We start from the raw sequence: 21,589 nt of genomic DNA, 5'->3' as shown, positions 1-21,589 counted from the left end.
TCATATGGAGGGGAACAAGAAGAGACATATATGGTCAATGACAGTACTGTGAATCACTGGCAGATTAGGGGCTGGAGCTTATTCCAGGAAGCGTCTATTCTTTTTTTTTTTTTTTTTTGAGACGGAGTCTCACTGTGTCGCCCAGGCTGGAGTGCAGTGGCATGATCTTGGCTCACTGCAAGCTCCGCCTCCTGGGTTCACGCCATTCTCCTGCCTCAGCCTCCCGAGTAGCTGGGACTACAGGTGCCTGCCACCAAGCCTGGCTAATTTTTTGTATTTTTAGTAGAGATGAGGTTTCACCGTGTTAGCCAAGATGGTCTCAATCTCCTGACCTCATGATCTGCTCGCCTCGGCCTCCCAAAGTGCTGGGATTACATGTGTGAGCCACCGTGCCTGGCCCCAGGAAGCTCCTATTCTTCAGAGACTTATGCATGTGGAGGACACAGGTGTCCCTGGTGAAGAAGGTTCTAGGCTTCTAAAGTTTTATATGGGCCAGGCATGGTGGCTCACACCTGTAATCCCAGCACCTTGGGGGGCTGAGGTGGGTGGATCACCTGAAGTCAAGAGATCAAGATCAGCCTGGCCAACAAGGTGAAACCCCATCTCTACTAATAATACAGAAAATTAGCCAGGCGTGTTGGCAGGTGCCTGTAATCCCAGCTACTTAGGAGGCTGAAGCAGGAGAATCACTTCAACCCAGGAGGCAGAGGTTGCAGTGAGCCAAGATCATGCCATTGAACTCCAGCTTAGGTGACAAGAGTGAAACTCCATCTGAAAAACAAACAAGTAATGACGACAAGGTTTTATGTGGACGTGGAGAATAATTAAGCCATTAACACCTTCAAGGCACCTTCATGATACTTTGCCATCTGTGAATCAACAGCACTCATCTTTATTAATATCCTGTATGAACAGAATTATCCCAGTGAGTCTTTAAAAAATGTCCTTCTTGTAGAGTTGGGAAAACACAGGCTTTGCAATGTCAAATGTCTGTTCAACAGCACATGGGTCAGAACTGAGAACCATAAACAGCGAGGGCTGCAAGTAATTTCCTTCAAGCTACTGGAGGCTCTGTCTGCATTTCACATGGATGGAATGGTCCTCAAGAAGCCTCATGTTCTATTTTAGAGACAGTGCACTGGGCAGGACAGCCTAGGAATACCTTTTTGTCTTTAAGCGACACAATTTTTTAACATTAAAAGTAATCTTGCCAAACAGCTACAATTCCAGACATGACAAGCGGGCAAATGCTGGGAGAGTCCAGGATGGGAGAAAGCCCATTTAAAGGGCCAAGAATCTGACCAGATGACTCAGGGAAAACACATCTGTATTAAGCAATTGAAAGATGACTCAAAAATGTCAGTCAGAAAACTGGAAATCAACACAAATCAACATGATATTATTCACCACATGGATACCAGATTGCCAAAAAATTAAAAGAAAGTTAACATCCAGGAGAATCTGGATTCAGGGAAGCATCTATATTCAGAAATTGCTGGTGGCAGTGTACCTTCCAAAGCCCTTTTGTAAAGTGATCTGGCTATAGATATTAGAATTTTACATATGCATATCCTTTCACCGAGCAGTCAGTCTCCCGGGAGTTTGTCATCTACAAGGGAATAATATATCCGATGGACTGAGTGGTGTCCCCTCCCCAAAGCTCATGTTCTAACACTGAGTGCCTCAGAATTGACTGTATTTGGACATATGGCCTCCAAAGAGGTTATAAGTTTTGAGTCCATTGGAGTGGATCCAAATCCAATATGACTGGAGTCCTTATTAGAAGGGGCAGTAAGGACACAGAGATAGAAATCTACAAGCCATCTACAAGCCAAGGAGAGAGTTCTTAGAGAAACCATCCTAGCTAACAACTTGTTGTTGGATTTCTAGCCTCCAGAATTGTGGGAAACTAAGTTTCTGCTGTCAATGTCCCTCAGGCTGCAGTGCTGTGTATGGAAGCTCTAGCAGATGGTTACAGGCTGTTAGGGCACACATAGGATGTTTCCTGAGGAATGGCTGAAATGGAAACAGAAGATGATCATGTCCAGGCTCCACCTGAATTGCAAGGCTGAACTGCTGAGGGAAATTGCCTCCTTTATGGAATATTATGAAGACATGTGAGGTTGCAGCTCCAGCCCTGAGTGGGGCTATAGGAATGAGTTATGTGGGATAACCAATACATAGAGCAACTTCACCATCCTCCCTCCCCTTTGAGCCCCCCTTTTTGTGTAAAAACATCCCTAGTAGGGGTGTGAGCTTTTAAATCTTAAAGGTCTGGCAGGGCAGTGCAGTTGCCTGCTACAGGAAATACCTGGGGTGGGTGTTTAAAACAATATACATAGGCTGGGCATTGTGGCTCATGCCTGTAATCCCAGCACTTTGGGAGGCTGAGGCTGGTGGATCACCTGAGGTCAGGAGTTCAAGACCAGCCTGGCTAACATGGTGAAACCCCGTCTCTACTAAAAATACAAAAATTAGCCGGATGTGTTGGCACTTGCCTAGAATCTCAGCTACCTGGGAGGCTGAGGCAGTAAAATCACTGAAACCCAGAGGCAGAGGTTGCAGTGAGATGAGATCGGGCCACTGCACTCCAGCCTGGGTGACAGAGTGAGACTCTGTCTCAAAAAAAAAAAAAAAATATATATATATATATATATATATATATATATATAACTGCACTCCAGCCTGGGTGACAGAGTGAGACTCTGTCTCAAAAAAAAAAATATATATATATATATATATATATATATATAAATAGTAGCAACATGGAAAGATACTCATGGCCTAGTGCAAACAATACAAAACTATTTTCTCTCCTCTTTCTACAACTATGTGAGCAAGAACTTAGCACCAAACCAAGTTTCTGTTGGTGATGAATGGAGGTCCAAGTGACTGCAGGTCACTTACGTGTGAAAGCCCTGGGACAGGGGCAATGGAGTCTCCATATTTGAGTCGAGATCCTGGGCCTGCCCTGAACGTTTTGGATTTCTGTCTGAGGTGACCCCTCTGTTTCTACTATCACCCCAGACCAGGGCTGGCTGTAGTTGGTAGGGTGGTGCTCCTGCCCTTTGTCCAAGGAGATGGAGTGGTTGAACTTATCACTCATTTCTACTGATTTGCATGAAGTTCTGCAAGAAGAGTGCCCAGCGGCTGGGCCAGGAGGTGTCAGTGACCTGCCTGGCTATCTCTGCAGGGAGAAAGCCCAGTTAGAAATCTGTTCCCTATATCAGGCACACAAGAGCATCTGCACAGACTTTCAGCCAGAGAGAAAATGAGATTACAATGTGAAGTCTTGGGATTAACATCTGAGTAGACAAACTTATTCTCCAACACTCAACTTCTTATCCTGCCAGGCATGACCTGGGATATGATCTTGGCATACCTATCAGGCTCCCAACACCTGACAACCTGCTTCTGTCCAGGGAGGGAACCCTCATCTCTTGCTCCCCAGACAAAATGGTGGTGGGCAGGGATGTGGGGTGGCCAAGATGTGATCACAGGTGAGGTCTGGCCGGGATGGGTCTGCCCTGTGTTGCCTCTGGGTGCCCCTTGCCAAGTGACCTGAGGATTTGTGGATGACAGCTGAGCCAACGTCTGCATCATTGGAAGATGCCCTCACTTCAAACCTTCCACAGATGAGAGCCTCAGGAACTCAGGATATAGCAATAGAACATCTTTATCTTGAGCATCTCCCATGAAATTAGCTTGATACAGGGCTGTGTCTAGAATAAGGGTTTCTGATTACCAGAGTTTTAAGTTCTTGTGGGTCTGTCACCAACAAAGTGAGGTTACTTGAAGGTTCCATGACCTGGGCCCCTTCCTTCAGTGCGACCTCCCCGCAGGCCCTGCTGGAGTCCTGACTGCCCACCTCCTTCCCTGTGTCAACTTCTAGAACAGTCTTAATCGCACATGACATAATCCTTTATATAAAAACGTGTAAGAGTTTCACTAAAATACTACTAGAATTAATAAGTTGATCAGTGTCACAAGATACAAGATACACATACAAAAATTATACTTAAAGCAACTGACAATGAAAATAAAATGCATAAATTTGATTTATACTAGCTTCAAAAGTATCTATAAAAAGTAATAGAAGTGCAAAGATTTTATAGTTAATTTTTTTTTTGAGACAAGGTCTTGCTCTTTCACCCAGGCTGGAGTGCAGTGGTGTGATCATAGCTCATTGCAACCTCGACCTCCTGGGCTCAATTGATCCACATGTCTCAGCCTTCTCAGTAGCTGGGACTACAGGTGTGTGCCACCATGACTGACTAATTTTTGTATTTCTTGTAGAGATGGGGTTTCTCCATGTTGCCCAGGCTGGTCTCCAACTGGGCTCAAGCAATCTGCCTGCTTCTGCCTACTAAAGTGTTGGGATTACAGATGGGAGCCACCGTGCCTGGTCTACACTTATTTTTTTTTAATGCTGAAAGAAATCAAGATCTAAAATAATTGAAAGATATCTGATTTTCAAGGATAAAAATACTTAATGTTTTCAAGATAACAATATCCTACAAGTGAACCGAGAGATTCAATATAATCCCTTCAAATTCCCAGCTGTGTTTTTGTAGAAATTGACAACTGTCCCCACACCAAAACTGATACAGATAAGCATAGGAAACCAAATACATGAAACGATCTTGAAGAACAACTGACTTCCACTTCCCAGTATGAATTCTCACTGCAGGCCAGGCATGGTGGCTTACCCCTGTAATCCCAGCACTTTGGGAGGCCGAGGCGAGTGGATCACTTGAGGTCAGGAGTTCCAAATCAGCCTGGACAACATGATGAAACTCCATCTCTACTAAAAATACAAAAATTAGCTGGGTGTGGTGGTGGGCGCCTGTAATCCCAGCTACTTGGGAAGCTGAGGCAGAAGAACTGCTTGAACCTGGGAGGTGGAGGTTGCAGTGAGCTGAGATCACACCAGTGCATTCCAGCCTGGGTGACAGAGTGGGACTCCTTCTTAAAAAAAAAGAAAAACTGACTTCAAAGCGTAATGTCTATTATCTCACTTTCTCCCTATTTTTTTCTCTGACTGAGAACTACAGAGTATCTTGACCACTCTGTGATACAGCCAGCTGCAGGTTTTTTTCTACAGGCTTAAACCTAAGCTGGGGTCTTGAACATTCCCACGCACTGATAAAAATGTTTAGGATGTTGCCCACAGCATTGAAAGAAACTAGCCCTGGCCCTAAGCCAAATTCCTTAAACCTTCATATAAACTCCATAACCAGACCCACTCATGGCAGACATACTGGGGCAGAACATCTCTGTTTTGTCCCTTGCAAGGATCCACCACAGCTCCCTCTGTGTGTCGGTTCCTCTAATGCATGCTTTGGATAGACCACTCTGGGCTTCAGAGCTTCTTTCTTTGGAATTCCAACTGTCCCATTTCAGGATGATTTGGGGCAGTCTCTTGTGGAAACTCCCTTGCTGTCACTTTTGGGGCAACTCCAGCCACTGGTTCAGCCTGAGGGAAGACCTGGTATAGTTGGCATTACTCCAAAGAATGGGCTGGGAGACCGGGTGTGGTGGCTCATGCTTGTAATCTGAGCACTTTAGGAGGCTGAGGTGGGTGGACCATGAAGTCAGGAGTTCGAGACCAGCCTGGCCCACATGGTGAAACCCCATGTGTACTAAAAATGCAAAAATTAGCTGGGCATGATCATGGGTGCCTGTAATCCCAGCTATGGAGGAGGCTGTGGCAGGAGAATTGCTTGAACTCGGAAGGAGGAGGTGGCAGTGAGCAGAGGCCACTACACTGCAGCCTGGGTGACAGAGTGAGACTCTGTCTCCAAAAAAAAAAAAAAAAAAAAGAATGGGCTTGGGAAAACAGGACCCTACTGGGGAGATCCCAGGATGCCTGCAAGTGCCTATGTGAGGCTCTATCACCCACTGCCTGATTCCTGCAGGCTGCCCTGTGAGTGCCAGGATGCTGTGAAAGCTCCAGCAGGCTAAAGGAGGCTGATGAGGGGGTTTGAAATTACCAAGGAGCCCAGAGCTCGGCAGGCAGAGAGGGGGTAGGCTGGCCTCTACCATGGCCAGTCCTCCTGGGAACAGAGGCTCTGTTGGGGGCCGAGAGCAAGGTCCCCGAGTTAGAGGAGGAGGAATTGCACCTAGAGAAAGGCCTGCCCGCTGCTGCCCACTCTGTTAGTTGCCCCTGTGAAGGTTAAATAGAAGAAAGGCTCTGTGGAGAGGTGCCAGGGGAGCCTGCAGCCTCAGGCCTGCTTCTCAGGGTGGCTTTGAATGGTAGTGGTGGCAGGGGCTCTGGGTTCCATTTTCTGTGACAGGCAGAGTCAAGTAAGGAAAGAGAAAGGCTGGGCATGGTGGCTCAAGCCTGTAATCCCAGCACTTTGGGAGGCTGAGACGGGTGGATCACGAGGTCAGGAGATCGAGACCATCCTGGCTAACACAGTGAAACCCCGTCTCTACTAAAAATACAAAAAATTAGCCGGGCATGGTGGCAGGCGCCTGTAGTCCCAGTTACTCAGGAGGCTGAGGAAGGAGAATGGGGTGAACCCCAGAGGCGGAGCTGGCAGTGAGTGGAGATCACACCACTGCACTCCAACCTGGGCGACAGAGCGAGACTCTGTCTCAAAAAAAAAAAAAAAAAAGAAAGAGAGGCTGCCCCACCTGTCCCACACTCACCTCAAGCTCACTGGGGCTCTAGGTGGTCTGTGGCAGTAGCTGGGCCAGGTAAGGCCTTGAGAGGCAGGGCTGAGGGCCACAGCAATGGCTGTTTTGGTGTCAACAGCAGGCCTGGCAGATACTGGGACCCATGCAGGCCAGGAGTGGAATTTTGGGGGCCGGGAGTGGAGTGTGGGTTCCAGTGTGAGGAGCAGGCTGGTCCTGCTGCTTCTTCCCTTTCCCAGGAGTGGAACAAGCACCACAGCCCCTACCATGACAGGAAGGCGAATGTTCCCCTCAATGTTGAGACCCTCAATGTTGAGCCAAACTGTCCTGAAATGGGGCAGTTGGAATTCCAAAAAAAGAAGCTCTGAAGCCCAGAGCTATTGAATTGTAGCCATGTGGCTAGAAAGAGTCACAGGTCCCTTCAGAGCAAACAACGAGTTTTGGCTCTGAGGGGTCTACATCTTCCCAATCCCCCAGGACATGTTGGGGACAAACACTGTCCTGGGAACTGTCCTTGAGGCAACCTTAGACAAGTTCTGTTTCTAGGTGAGGGTGGCAAAAGCCATGCTCTGAGGGGAAGCCACATGGAAGCCAGGTGACATTATCCCACACAAGAGGACTGGTGTGCATCAAACAATGTCGCCTCCCAGGAGGGCACGGAAGATCACACACTTTTTTTTTGCTTTTCTTTCTTTCTTTTTTTTTTTTGACAGAGTCTCGCTCTGTCACCCAGGCTGGAGTGTAGTGGCACGATCTTGGCTCACTGCAACCTCCACTTCTCAGGTTCAAGAGATTCTCTTGCCTCAGACTCCCAAGTAGCTGGGATTACAGGCATGCATCATGATGCCGGCTAATTTTTGTATTTTTAGTAGAGACCAGGCTGGTCTCGAGCTCCTGACCTCAAGTGATCCACCTGTCTCAGCCTCCCAAAATGCTGGGATTACAGGTATGAGCCAATATGCTTGGCCTGAGATCATAGCTTCTCTTCAGGACTTGGAGAGGATGGGGACTGCATGTCTGCACAGAGTCCATAAAACAGCTTTGTGTGGTTGGTGCCAAAGCCTGATGGCACCTGGAGTATGACAGGTGATTACTGGGATATTATGACAGTTGATCATTGATTATTGAGAATCGAATAAGGTGACTCTGGGCATGCATGCTGCTGTCCCCCAAATGGCTCAAATCCTGGAAAAACTAAATACTTGCTCAGGTCCATGGCATACTGAATGTAGTAAATGCTTTCCGCAGCATACCCTTCCAAAGTCCCGGGACCTTTTGCCTTCAGCTGAGAGGACCAACAATGTACCTTCTGGTTGCTCCCAGTGAAACTTACACAGCCCAATTATCCAACATGGTTTAGAGTGATGTGAGACATTTTGGAGTGATGTGCCCGACATTCTCTGGGAACACTATATGGATAATATTCTTCTAATCTCTAGAGATTGAAGTCTTTTGCAGAAACCTACCTAGAAACTCCTAAAGCATTTACAATCCAGAGGATGGGCCAGTCATGCCCAGAAAGTCCAGGGAACAGGGGGCACCATGACATTCCTGGGCATGGTCAGGTTAAGTAAGACCCAAGTTTTGCCAACAGCTGTGATCATCAAAATCCAGACATACCCACAGGCCTCTGTATAGTTTGGATCTGTGTCCCCACCTGAATCTCAACTCTAATTGTAATCTGCTGTGTTGGAGGTGAGGCCTGGTGGGAGGTGATTGGATCATAGGTGTGGTCCCTCATGAATGGCTTAGCACCATCCCTCCTGTGCTGTTCTTGTGATTGTAAAAGTTCTCACAAGATCTAGTTGTTTAAAAGTGTGTAGGCCGGGTGCGGTGGCTCACGCCTGTAATCCCAGCGCTTTGGGAGGCCAAGGCAGGTGGATCATGAGGTCAGGAGATCGAGACCATCTTGGCTAACATGGTGAAACCCCATCTTTACTAAAGATACAAAAATTAGCCGGGCATGGTGGCACGTGCCTGTAGTCCCAGCTACTTGGGAGGCTGAGGCAGGAGAATTGCTTAAACCCAGGAGGCGAAGGTTGCAGTGAGCCGAGATCGCACCAATGCACTCCAGCCTGGGTGACAGAGTGAGACTCCATCTCAAAAAAAAAAAAAAAAAAGGGTGTGTAGCACCTCTCCCCTCTCTCTCTTGTTCCTGCTCCAGTCATGTAAGATGTGCCTGCCTGCTTCCTCTTCCCCTTCCACCATGTTTTTAAGCTCCCTGAGGCCTCTCCAGAAGCTGAACAGAAGCCACTTAGCTTCCTGTACAGCCTGTGGAACTGTGAGCCAATTAAACCCAGTTCCAGGTATTTATTTACAGCAGTGTAAGCGTGGACTGATATACCTTGTTTTATGAAAGGGCTGTATCTGCAAAGGGATCCCCAACACAGAAGGAGTCAAGAAACCAAAGAATGAAACAGACAAATCCAGTTTGTCAGTAAAAGGTAATCTATTGGGGGGAACTTGTGGGCAGAAGCATGGTCTTGAGTGGTAGCAAGACAGGTAGTTCCCCAGGCTGTTACCCCCAAGATTTAGGGCTTACTTAGTATAGGAAAAGGGTAAATATGCTCTATAAGGAATGTGCAGGACAATTAAGGTCAGCCTTCCAGAAAGAGAATGAGGTGCACATCGTAGCCTGTAGTTTGTATGATGACATATAGGTTGCTTTGACCTAAGGAGAAGATTTACAGTAAGTATGTGCTCTTACACAAGAAACAGTAGATGAAGTAGAAATCTTAAGGGCATTCCCAGAACTGGGGTTAATTCAAAGTCAACATGGTGGATTCGCATCCAAGATGGAGCTGCTTTAGCCTCCACAGAGCTCCTTCCCCAGACCCGTGGAGCCCTTAGGGTTTAGAGGACCAGCGTAGAAATTCTCATCCAGGCAGTTTGATCCTTTTGGTTCTCAAAAGGGAATTGAATGTACATATCTGCTTATTATTCTCAAATAATTTCTTCTTTCACGTTATTATTTCTCAAATCTTTCCTTTTTTTCCCTCTCCACAGAAAAAGCTACAGAAAATTTAAAAGTATTTTCAGAAAAGACAGTACACTGAGTAGGATTTGCACATCAAGAAAAAGTAGAAATGGGAGCTGGGAGTCAAGTGTTTTGGAGGGGGATAGAGAAAAAGATTAGGCTGGAAGGGGTACTGGGCCAGTTGTCGGGGCGTGTACACCCGTGTGTGTGTGTGTGTGTGTGTGTGTGTGTGTGTGTGTGTGTGTGTGGTGTGTGTGTAACTTTCTCACTGAACGTTTACTTGAACAACTCCAGCACTGTCTAGACTGGATTAACAGAAAGATGTGTGTGGGCAGTTGGGGGGTTTGTGGGCAGGCAACCCTGGTAATGGGATGCAGTGATGGCAGCTGGGCTGCTGAGCAGGCATGATGAGCTGCAGAAGGAGCAGGGCTCTGGTTCCCATGCTGGTCCATCGTGCTGGTGTGGAGCTTCCTCCAGGCTGTGGGGTGTGCATGGTAGGTGGGGCTTCCCTCCTTCCCCAAACTAGCCCAGCAATTCCCCAGGAAGTCAGGCCACTGCTACTGCTTCTGACTGCACTGCATCTCTAAAGGGAGTGTCACCCTGTCTGTACCAAGGATGGGGACAGCAGAAGAATCTCACAGGCCAGGTGGGTCTCAATTGGTAAATGCAGGGTGGACATATGTGTGTTTGCTGTGGCTCACCACTCTGTCCTTTGCAGACACTGCTAATTAGTCAGTCACAGGATTCTCACCCCAGTGCCCAGTGAGCACTACCAAAAGCTCCAGATGGCTTATAAGCATCTGGAGACTCTTGTATTCCCTGTGGATCCTTCCTGACCAGATCTCAGAACCTTCCCTGGAAATGAGGAAGTGGCATGTCACCACCCAGTACCTGTACTGTCAGAGATGGCATCCCGGGTGACCATTCCCTGAGTGGAGGAAGAGAGGGTTCCGTGCAGGGGACTTCCTTGGTGGATGATGGGGTAAGTGAGGCCTTTGGTCTGGCATAAAGCCTGTGTGGAGCAGAGACTCCAGTGGGGCTGTGACAAGCAGCTGCTGCTCAACCAGGCCTCCCAGGACACTTTGTCCCCCTCCCACCACAGCTGAGCCTGGATGAGACTGTGGACACCCATAGACACCAGAGGATGAGACCTTGAGCAGTGGTGGTTCTGGGGTGTGGGGTGAAGGCAGCTGGGACAGGGCCTCCAGGTGTGGGAGGATCCAGCCTCTCTTGTGAGGCCCTGGGCACATCACTGCCCTCTGTGGGCCTCTGTTTCCTCATCTGGCAGATGAACAAACGATGAGCCTGTTGAGCAGGCCTCACAGCGTCCTGATGGGGTTCAGTAAGGAAGGGAATTTATGGGTGCTTGTACCTTGCTCTTCCCACGAAGGATGATGGTGAGAGCACTGCTGAGAGCCACATGAAACTGAGTCATCAGGAGGCCCTGTGAGGAAGGCGTGGTTCCCATCACACTTCCTTGATGAAAAAATAGTCTCAGGGAGGTCCGGCCACCTGCCCAAGGTGACACAAGCAGTAAGTGTTGGAGCTGGGAGTGAATCTAGAATCAGGGCAGAGTGGAGTTGGTGGGAGCATTGCAACAGCTCACTCAGGCTGGTTATCTAGGACCTGAGGTCAAGGGGGCTTAGGTATAACTGAGGGAGGAGAGAATAGTCTCCCTGACCTTGTTCCTGACCCTGGCAGGTGGAGACCTCCAAACTGGCCATGCAGGAGATGATTCCTCACACAGCACAGATGAGGCTGTGGGGCAGCAGGTGAGTGGATCTGTGGTGGGAGGGGCTCCAGGGAGCCGAAGGGCAGTCTTCTTCCCCACCAGCTGGAGGCCTCCACATCAAGAGAGCAGGGGGTCTTCCTCCCCCAGCCCTGCCCTCCTGTGGCCACAGGGCCTGAAATGCCTCCATTAGAGGGAGCAGAGAAACCAACCGCCTGGGCAAGCTGGGCTCAGTGTAGATTTGGGGAACAGTGAGACAGGGGACCCCATGCCCTCATGACTTGTTAAAATCCCAGCATAGAAGTAACTGGGGGTGTCTAGTGGCCTTGGGGGCCAGCCGGGGAGATGGGGGAGAGGAGGGGAGGGCTGGGGGAGGCAGCTGAGGGTCCTGGGCTGTTCCAGGTTGGAGACCTTGGGAACCAGTGTCCAGGCAGAAGTGGGTGGTGAGATTTCAGGGGACAGATCTTGGGTGGGCACCTGATAATGGGAGCTCACCACCACTACCACCCCAATGGCCAGGGTGACGTGCCTTCTCTGGGCCGGTGGGGGGTGGGGGTTCCTCATTAACCTGGTGAAGCTGGGCACTGCCATGAAGGACTGTGTGGGTGGGAGTGAGCCTGGGGCAGGCAGGTTGGGGACCAGGATCCTCAGGCTTGGGAGGAGAGAGCCCTGGACACAGACCTTTGATCACAGCAAGCCCCCTCCTGTGTGAGCCCCACCGTCCTCCCCATGCCCCCTGAGCTGGGGCGTCAGGCCCATCTTACCTCTGAGTGGTGGAGGCTCCAGAGCAGCTTCCAGTCCCTGTTCCCTGAGTGGTGAATCTGAAGAGCTGTCCGACTGCAAAGCTGCAGGAGCTGCAGGAGCTGGACTCAGCCTCTCCCTCAGGTAGTGCCCATGGAAGGAGAGGGAAATTGGGCCCTTCCCAGGTCAGGCAGCTCCTAAATGTCCGAGCATTTTCTTTCTATACAGGGCCTCTGTTTGTTTGTCTGTTGTCAGAGAGTGTTGGGGCAAAAGGTCCCTGAGCCACAGCTCCCACACCTCCTCATCTAGAGCCCAGAGCTTGATGCAGGTCCCAGTGCTGTTCTATGCATATTTCTCACCCCTGCTGGCCTGGCAGAAGTGCAGCATGGGAGGGTGTGGGGATGGGGGTAAGTCATGGGCCAGGGGCCTTTCTGAGGGTCTTTGGCTGGCTGCCTTTCAGGGAAATGTGATCAACACCCAGAAAGGAAAAAGGGAGCAGCTGAGGCCCTCACTTTGGGGGAGGGTGGGGATGTGGAAATCAGAGACCATCCCACCCACTTACCCTGGGTAGAACACTCCCCGGCTCCATCCTCTGCATCCTGGATTTATTGGGAGGGTTTGATACACAGAGGAGACCCATCCCAATGGAGCATGTGCATAGGGGACAGGAATCATGGACAAATTCCTGGGGAGGCTATTTATCTGTTTATATCCATCTTTGAGAAAAGGGTGGGGCTGCATGGGATTGGAGAAGAGGGAGTCCATTAAGAGAAAAGCCCTAGAGATCAGCCTTGGTTTACCCCCTCCCCAAGGGCCCTTCAGCATCTTCCACCCAGGCCCTGTCAGCCTTTTGTTCTTCCCTCTGGCTCCAGGAGATCAAAGTCCTCCAAAAATGCAGCTGCTTCAGTGACAAGAGGGAATTATAATCTTCAGACTCAGGAGGAATATGGGGTTGGTTTCAAGCCCATGGAGCAGCACAATCGATTGAGAGGTGAGAGCCTAGCGGATTGACAGAGGGTGGGCAGAGGCTCAGTCTGAAACACAGGCTGCTTGTTTCAGACAGCCTGTGGCCACGGCTCTCTGGTCAGAAGCAGGCCCTGTTGAATGGGAGCCCTGGGCAGGCACTGGGAGGTAGGCCTGAGGTGTGGCTCCTGGAACCTCACAGCTGCTGCTCTGTCCTACAGCTACAACCTGTCCTGCCGCTGAGCCCCATCCCAGTAGGCCAGCCACGCCCTCAAGGCCAAGAAGACCAGGCCATGAAGAATCTAAGGCCCACTGAGTGCCCAGGTAGCAAGGGCAGAGTGCCTCAGGGCTCGGTGAAGTTTGGGCTGAGCATGGGCTCTGGAAGTCAGACAGCTACACTGGGCTATCAGCTCCACTGTGACCAGCCCTGTGACTGGGGCAGGGGACTCACTGCTGTGGTACTTGAGCATCACTGTCATAAATTGAATGTGTCCGTCCAATCCTTTTCTCTTTATCTTTCTTCCTCTATAATCACATGTACTACTGATCTCTGTTAGTGTTTTTGTTCAAATGAATAAACATATGTTATATAGTGTGTATTATACTTCCTCATGATTTCTTCACTATACTGTATAATTCCACTCATATGAACTTAACTACTAGAGTAGCTAAGTTTACAGAGACACAAAGTAGAAGAGTGGTTCCCGGGGCTAGAGGAAGGTAGGTGAGGTGTTTAGTGGGTACAGAGTTTCAGTTTTGCAAGATGAAAAACACTCCCTATAAATGTGGAGGATGCTTGTAAAACAGTGTGAATGTGCTTAATTCCTCTGACCTGCACACTTAAAAATTGTTAAAATGAAAAAAAAAATTGTTGGCTGGGTACAGTGTCTCACGACTGTAATCCCAGCACTTTGGGAGGCAGAGGTGGGTGGATCTCCTGAGGTCAGGAGTTCGAGACCAGCCTAGCCAAAATGGTGAAGCCCCATCTCCACTAAAAATACAAAAAAATAGGCCGGGTGCGGTGGCTCACACCTGTAATCCCCGCACTTTGGGAGGCCAAGGCGGGCAGATCATGAGGTCAGGAGATCGAGACCATCCTATCTAACATGGTGAAACCCCGTCTCTACTAAAAATAGCTGGGCGTGGTGGCGGGTGCCTGTAGTCCCAGCTACTTGGGAGGCTGAGGCAGGAGAATGGTGTGAACCTGGGAGGCAGAGCTTGCAGTGAGCAGAGATTGTACCACTGCATTCCAGCCTGGATGACAGAGTGAGACTCCATCTCAAAAAAAAAAAAAAAAAAAAGCCAGGTGTGGTGGTGCATGCCTCTAATCCCAGCTACTCAGGAGGCTGAGGCAAGAGAACTGCTTGAACCCGGGAGGTGGAGGTTGCAGTGAACCAAGATTGTACCACTGCACTCTAGCCTGAGCAACAGATTGAGACTCCGTCTCAAAGAAAAAAAAAAGAACAGACTATAGCTATTTGCAACAGCATGAATGAATATCACAAATACAATGTTCCTTAAAAGTAAGTAGATATGAAAGTATACATACTGTATAATGTGATTTATACAAAATCCAATAAGCAGACAAAACTGAGGTCCTGGCTTTCAGTAATACTGGAGTAGCTTGTTGAATTAACACAGATTATAATGATGACATCCGAATAATATATATTGTTATAGAAACACATCTATATAATACAAATATGACCTATGTGTGAGTAAGAACTGAATGAGGATTTCAGCTATGCCCACTATAGGGGAGATAGGTATTGATGTTTGAATCCAGCCCAATTAACATCTTTTATAAAACATAACACTGCTCTTCAAAGTTACACAACAGAATTGAGCATCTTTATAATTCCTTACAGTTTTAGTACACAACTTTAAAATTCATGAGATGTGTGAAGAAACATGAAAATGGGATCCATACATAATTTAACAAGAAGATAGTAGAAGTGATCCTAAGATATTCAAGGTGTTGTAATTCAAGATGTTTAAAGGCAGCTATTATAAATCTGTTCATGGGGGTAAAGGAAAATATTCTAACAATGAATGAAGAGATGTGGAACCTCAGCAAAGAAATGGAAATTATGAAACAATAGGAAGATAAGGAAATTTAAAAAATACTTTTGAGCTTATTCAAAGATTAGAAACAGAAGATAGAGCAATAGAAATTGCCCATTCTGAATATAAGAGTGAAAAAGCTTAAAGAAACTGAAGAGTCTTAGAGACCTATGGAGTGATTGAGTTCTAGGTGGAGAGCGGACAGAAAAATTAGACCAGCCGCCCTGGTCCCGCTGAAACTTGGCAGGTAGGAGAGGTTTGGGAACAGCCAGGCTCCCCTTGGCATGGCAGAACTGCTCTGGACTCGGGGAGGTGTGGATTGGAGGGCGGGAGCTAAGCCTGGCATACTAGGACTTATCATCTTTGATTAGCTTCCAGTTTTTTAATTGCAGGGCGACCGGATTACAATTCCAGCCAGCATGAACACGGGACGGCGCGCAGTCTTGAAGGGCGAAGCAGGGCTGCGCCGGGCTTGCTGTACATGCTGGGAGCTGTAGTCTTTTCACCGCTCCCGCCCGTTGTTTCAAGCGCTTCGGGACTACAATCCCAGCATGCTCCGGGCTCGGGGGCGGGGTGCAGTTCTTGTGGGAGGAGTGGGGCGGGGCGGGGCGCGCCTGGCCAGGCAGGCTGGAAACGGTAGCTCTTAACTGTTCCCCGCCCGTTGATGACGAGGCGGCTGGACTAGAATCCCAGCAGGAAACATGAGAGGAGGCGGGCAGCCCAAGAGGGTTGGGCAGGGCAGTGTGGACCTCGCCGCTTCCACAGCGATGCTGGCTACTGATCGCGGGCACCTCCTTGCCATGGGATGTGAGTCCGGAGAGGGACAGGAGGGGCAGGTCCAGGCTGGGCAGTGAGGAGGGCGTGACGCCGCGAAGTGCTCCTCGCCCTTGTCCAACTCGGATGGGTGTTGTCCTCACCCCACTTCCCGCTGCTAGGCTGGGTTCCCTCTTCCACCTGCACCCGGGGTCTTTCCTGGACATCACGCCTCCTCCAGCTCAGGGACCCACCTGCTTTCCTAAGCTGCTGTGGGAACTGGCCTGAGGTCCAGGCGCTGTCCATTGTGCCGCTGCCCTCTTTTCTCTCCAGCCAGAGCGCAGTGCAGCCGCTATGGGGAGAAATCCGCCGCCTGGCCCGCCAGTGCACAAGTTCAGAGCTTTGCAGGGGGTAACATGGACTGTGGTTTCGTGAAAATGTCACCCTCACCAGCGCCTTTTTCTTGGATGTGGATGTTGAGGCGGCAGAGAGGTTCATTATTGGTTTACCCAGGAGATGCTAAGAGTAGAGGAGAAAATCTCACATCCCAGGCGTGTGTCTCTGGTGCGCCATTTTCCACCAACCCATTTGGTGGAAAGTCGCCTAAATAGCTACCCAAAGATGAAGATAGTTTAGGCATTTTACACGTGACATCATTGGCCTCATCTCAACTGAGGCCTGACTGGCCAGTGTCTCAAAGGCACAGATGGCAACCTGATCCTCAGAAACCGGTGGTGCTCCAGCTTTGTGGGAGCGACTTTCAAGGTATGGAGAACTTGGGGAGTCTTTGAAACTCCTCAGGCTTCACAACTTTGCTTTGAATGGAATGTTCATCACCCCCGGCACTCACGGAGGTACCTTTACTCTCTTGGGCTGATCTGTTTAATTTTTATGTCTAGACAATAGAAACTTCTGGGAGCACTTCTGGTTTCGTGTAGCTTCCTAATAATTGATGTCCCTTAATTCCATGTGTCCTCAGGGACAGTTCCTTTGATTCTGGAATGGCGCCAGCTTTTATGTTTAATCCGTAAAAAACAAGGTGTTAATCTACATAAAAGTAAGACCTTGTTCATATCACACATTCCAACAGGCTTCATTTCTGATTCCTGAATGTGGATTACTATTTTAAAAAAGCCTAAAAATTCTGGTCATGGATATTAGACACTGTTATTGTACTTTGTGAAGAATTTACTCCTTCAGGATCAATTACACACGGGCTCATCAGTACCTTTGTAAATAAAGGAACAAGAACCATGTGGCATCTATGGATGTGGTGAGGTGAAGTATAGGGAGACCACAGCATAACAGCTCTTCCCTTGTTTTCAGTAGTCTGTGGGGTCAAGTACCTGCCTTCCTCCCCCATCCCTCACTATTTTCATTCTACTCCTGACTGTTCCCTCTTCAGGTGGGAGTTTCTAAATACACTTGTCTGCAAGTGTTGCTGGGGATGTTGTAACGTGAGGTCATCCATCATCCGTCACCTTAAAGATGAATGAAGAGGATTTTGTGATCTGTGTTCAAGAGGCACTGCTGTTGGGTGTGTGGCTGCAAAAACACGTGATCTCAGCTGTCCCCAGCAGCTGCCTCACAAGATTGGTCCTGATGCAGCCACAGCTGCTGTACACAGAGCCAGGAGCTCCTTGCAGTTTGGTGTATTCTGCTGAGATTTGTGGCTCTGACCCTCCTCTGCTCACCCCATTCCTGGTAGTATCTGCTCAGCTGCCTGGTTTGGTCCAGTGTTTCCTGGGAGCCTGTTGTGTGACTGCATTTCAGAGGGTCTTTAGGGATTCCACCCTCACTACACCAGTCACTCTACACTGGCCATGCACTTAGCTTCTTGGGACCCCGTGTGTGTCGTCTTCAGTGGAGCTGTGAAGAGCTCTAGTTAGGGATAGATCTCATTCTCACGTGCCTCAGGCTGCTTCAAAAGCTGATCATCTTGTCTTTGGACATATGGACATTATTCCTTTTGTGTATTTTGAAGTCCGTTGCTGTTTTTTTTCCTTTTTTTTTTTTAATAATGTGGACCCTTGCAGTAACAGTGACAGTCACTTTTCAATATCTTTGTGAATTTAACTCTGGCAACAATTTGATGAAGTTGACACGTGGTTCTCATTTTATAGGTGAGGAAACTGACACTTGGAGAGGTAGAGTAGCTTTATTTACTTCACACAAGCTTTTGATGAAATCAAGTCTCAACCTAGAAGTCTTCCTCTAAGGTATGACTGTGGCATATTCTTTGTGTTTCTCTGCCAGTGTCCCAAAGGGGTCCACATCCCATCTGGACTCCGTTTTCTTCTTAATGACAGGAAACTTGCAGAAAGAGGGCTTCGGTTGGGGAGAGCACTTGCTGGCACTTGGCCTTCCCTGTCCTCCACCTTCCCCTTGGCAGGGCTTAGGTGATTTGAGGGAGCTGGATCAGCAGTAGCTCCTGACCAGCACTCACCTGGAATGCTTGTTGTTATGTGAAGATAACACCCACTCACTTTTTGCAGTGTGATTTTTTTGTTCTAATTATTCCCTGGGATTTCTCTTCCAGGTTTGTGCTTGCACGAACCTGTAATTCAAATACTGATGAAAACAAAACTATTGCCCTCCTACCAAATGGTAACAATGCGTGTAATTTTCTTTTTCTAATTATAAAAGAAATGCATGCTGTTTGAATAATGGCAGATCATAGAGATCTTTATGTAACAAAATTCTCCCATGTCTTCCTCTTCGTTCCAAACTCACTCCCTTCTTAGAAGGAATTATTATAGCTTGGTGTTGATTCTTCTGGATGTTTTCTATGAATTTATAAATACAAATAAAGTTGGCCAGGTGCGGTGGCTCATGTCTGTAATCCCAACACTTTGGGAGGCCAAGCAGGGAGGATCCCTTGAGCTCAGGAGGTCGAGGCTGCAGTGAGCTGTGATCATGCCATTGCACTCCCGTCTGGGCAACAGAGTGAGACCCTGCCTCCAAAAAGAAGAAAAAAAAGAAGATAAATACATGTACAGTTTTTGAACACAAATTGTATCATACTATTTTTTTTATTTTGCTATTTCATAAGCAATATATCATTTACATTATTCCATATCAATGCATGAGATTCTAACTCTCTATTTTTAATGTCTTAAATGTATTCCAAAGAATGGATATACAAGATTTATTTCACTGTTTGTTCTTTGATAGAAACTTAGATTATTTCTAATTCCATCATTATTATAAAATGCAGCGATAAGATTCTTGTACATAATTTACTGCACTGACAACTAACCGTTCAGTTTATCTTGCCTTCTTTTAGTCAGAGAATATGTCATGAGTTTAATATTTATTTTATGATTTGATTCATAGGGTAATTAATATTATGACTGGATAAGACAATTGTGAAGAAACTGCATTTCGAGGTTGTCTATCTCTGTATTCTGATGGAAAAGCGTGGAATTTAGAAGCATTGCTCGCTCCTTCAGTTTCTAACAAGTCAGTATTCTCATAGCAATTTAAATTTAGATGTTTGAATTGTTTCTCCTTCCCTGATTCAGGATAAGTATGTTGTTCTTCTGTTTGTGAAACTTCTGACTCCAGGGATTTTCAGTTGGGCTTTAGAGAGGGTAACTCCCATATTGCTGTTGCTTCTATTTCTCTTCAGCATCTGGCAGCATGTGATAAAGATCATAGAATTAGACCAGGTCTGTAGTTCTCCTTGAAGAGGTCCTTCACATCCCTTGTAAGTTGGATTCCTAGGTATTTTATTCTCTTTGAAGCAATTGTGAATGGGAGTTCACTCATGATTTGGCTCTCTGTTTGTCTGTTGTTGGTGTATAAGAATGCTTGTGATTTCTGTACATTGATTTTGTATCCTGAGACTTTGCTGAAGTTGCTTATCAGCTTAAGGAGATTTTGGGCTGAGACAATGGGGTTTTCTAGATATACAATCATGTCATCTGCAAACAGGGACAATTTGACTTCCTCTTTTCCTAATTGAATACCCTTTATTTCCTTCTCCTGCCTAATTGCCCTGGCCAGAACTTCTAACACTATGTTGAATAAGAGTAGTGAGAGAGGGCATCCCTGTCTTGTGCCAGTTTTCAAAGGGAATGCTTCCAGTTTTTGCCCACTCAGTATGATTTGGCTGTGGGTTTGTCGTAGATAGCTCTTATTATTTTGAAATACGTCCCATCAATACCTAATTTATTGAGAGTTTTTAGCATGAAGGGTTGTTGAATTTTGTCAAAGGCCTTTTCTGCATCTATTGAGATAATCATGTGGTTTTTGTCTTTGGTTCTGTTTATATGCTGGATTACATTTATTGATTCGCGTATATTGAACCAGCCTTGCATCCCGGGGATGAAGCCCACTTGATCATGGTGGATAAGCTTTTTGATGTGCTGCTGGATTCAGTTTGCCAGTATTTTATTGAGGATTTTTGCATCAATGTTCATCAAGGATATTGGTCTAAAATTCTCTTTTTTGGTTGTGTCTCTGCCTGGCTTTGGTATCAGGATGATGATGGCCTCATAAAATGAGTTAGGGAGGATTCCCTCTTTTTCTATTGGTTGGAATAGTTTCAGAAGGAATGGTACCAGTTCCTGCTTGTACCTCTGGTAGAATTCGGCTGTGAATCCATCTGGTCCTGGGCTCTTTTGTGTTGGTAAGCTATTGATTATTGTGACAATTTCAGATCCTGTTATTGGTCTATTCAGAGATTCAACTTCTTCCTGGTTTAGTCTTGGGAGAGTGTATGTGTCGAGGAATTTATCCATTTCTTCTAGATTTTCTAGTTTATTTGCATAGAGGTGTTTGTAGTATTCTCTGATGGTAGTTTGTATTTCTGTGGGACGGTGGTGATATCCTCTTTATCATTTTTTATTGCATCTATTTGATTCCTCTCTCTTTTTTTCTTTATTAGTCTTGCTAGTGGTCTATCAATTTTGTTGATCCTTTCAAAAAACCAGCTCCTGGATTCATTAATTTTTTGAAGGGTTTTTTGTGTCTCTATTTCCTTCAGTTCTGCTCTGATTTTAGTTATTTCTTGCCTTCTGCTAGCTTTTGAATGTGTTTGCTCTTGCTTTTCTAGTTCTTTTAATTGTGATGTTAGGTTGTCAATTTTGGATCTTTCCTGCTTTCTCTTGTGGGCATTTAGTGCTATAAATTTCCTCTATACACTGCTTTGAATGCGTCCCAGAGATTCTGGTATGTTGTGTCTTTGTTCTCCTTGGTTTCAAAGAACATCTTTATTTCTGCCTTCATTTCGTTGTGTATCCAGTAGTCATTCAGGAGCAGGTTGTTCAGTTTCCATGTAGTTGAGCGGTTTTGAGTGAGATTCTTAATCCTGAGTTCTAGTTTGATTGCACTGTGGTCTGAGAGATAGTTTGTTATAATTTCTGTTCTTTTACATTTGCTGAGGAGAGCTTTACTTCCAAGTATGTGGTCAGTTTTGGAATAGGTGTGGTGTGGTGCTGAAAAAAATGTATATTCTGTTGATTTGTGGTGGAGAGTTCTGTAGATGTCTGTTAGGTCCGCTTGGTGCAGAGCTGAGTTCAATTCCTGGGTATCCTTGTTGAATTTCTGTCTCGTTGATGTGTCTAATGTTGATAGTGGGGTGTTAAAGTCTCCCATTATTAATGTGTGGGAGTCTAAGTCTCTTTGTAGGTCTCTCAGGACTTGCTTTATGAATCTGGGTGCTCCTGTATTGGGTGCATATATATTTAGGATAGTTAGCTCTTCTTGTTGAATTGATC

This window comes from Homo sapiens, chromosome 7 (assembly GCF_000001405.40).
Source record: "Homo sapiens chromosome 7, GRCh38.p14 Primary Assembly".
NCBI classification, from domain to species: Eukaryota; Metazoa; Chordata; class Mammalia; order Primates; family Hominidae; genus Homo; species Homo sapiens.
Note: the sequence above shows the minus strand (reverse complement) of the source record.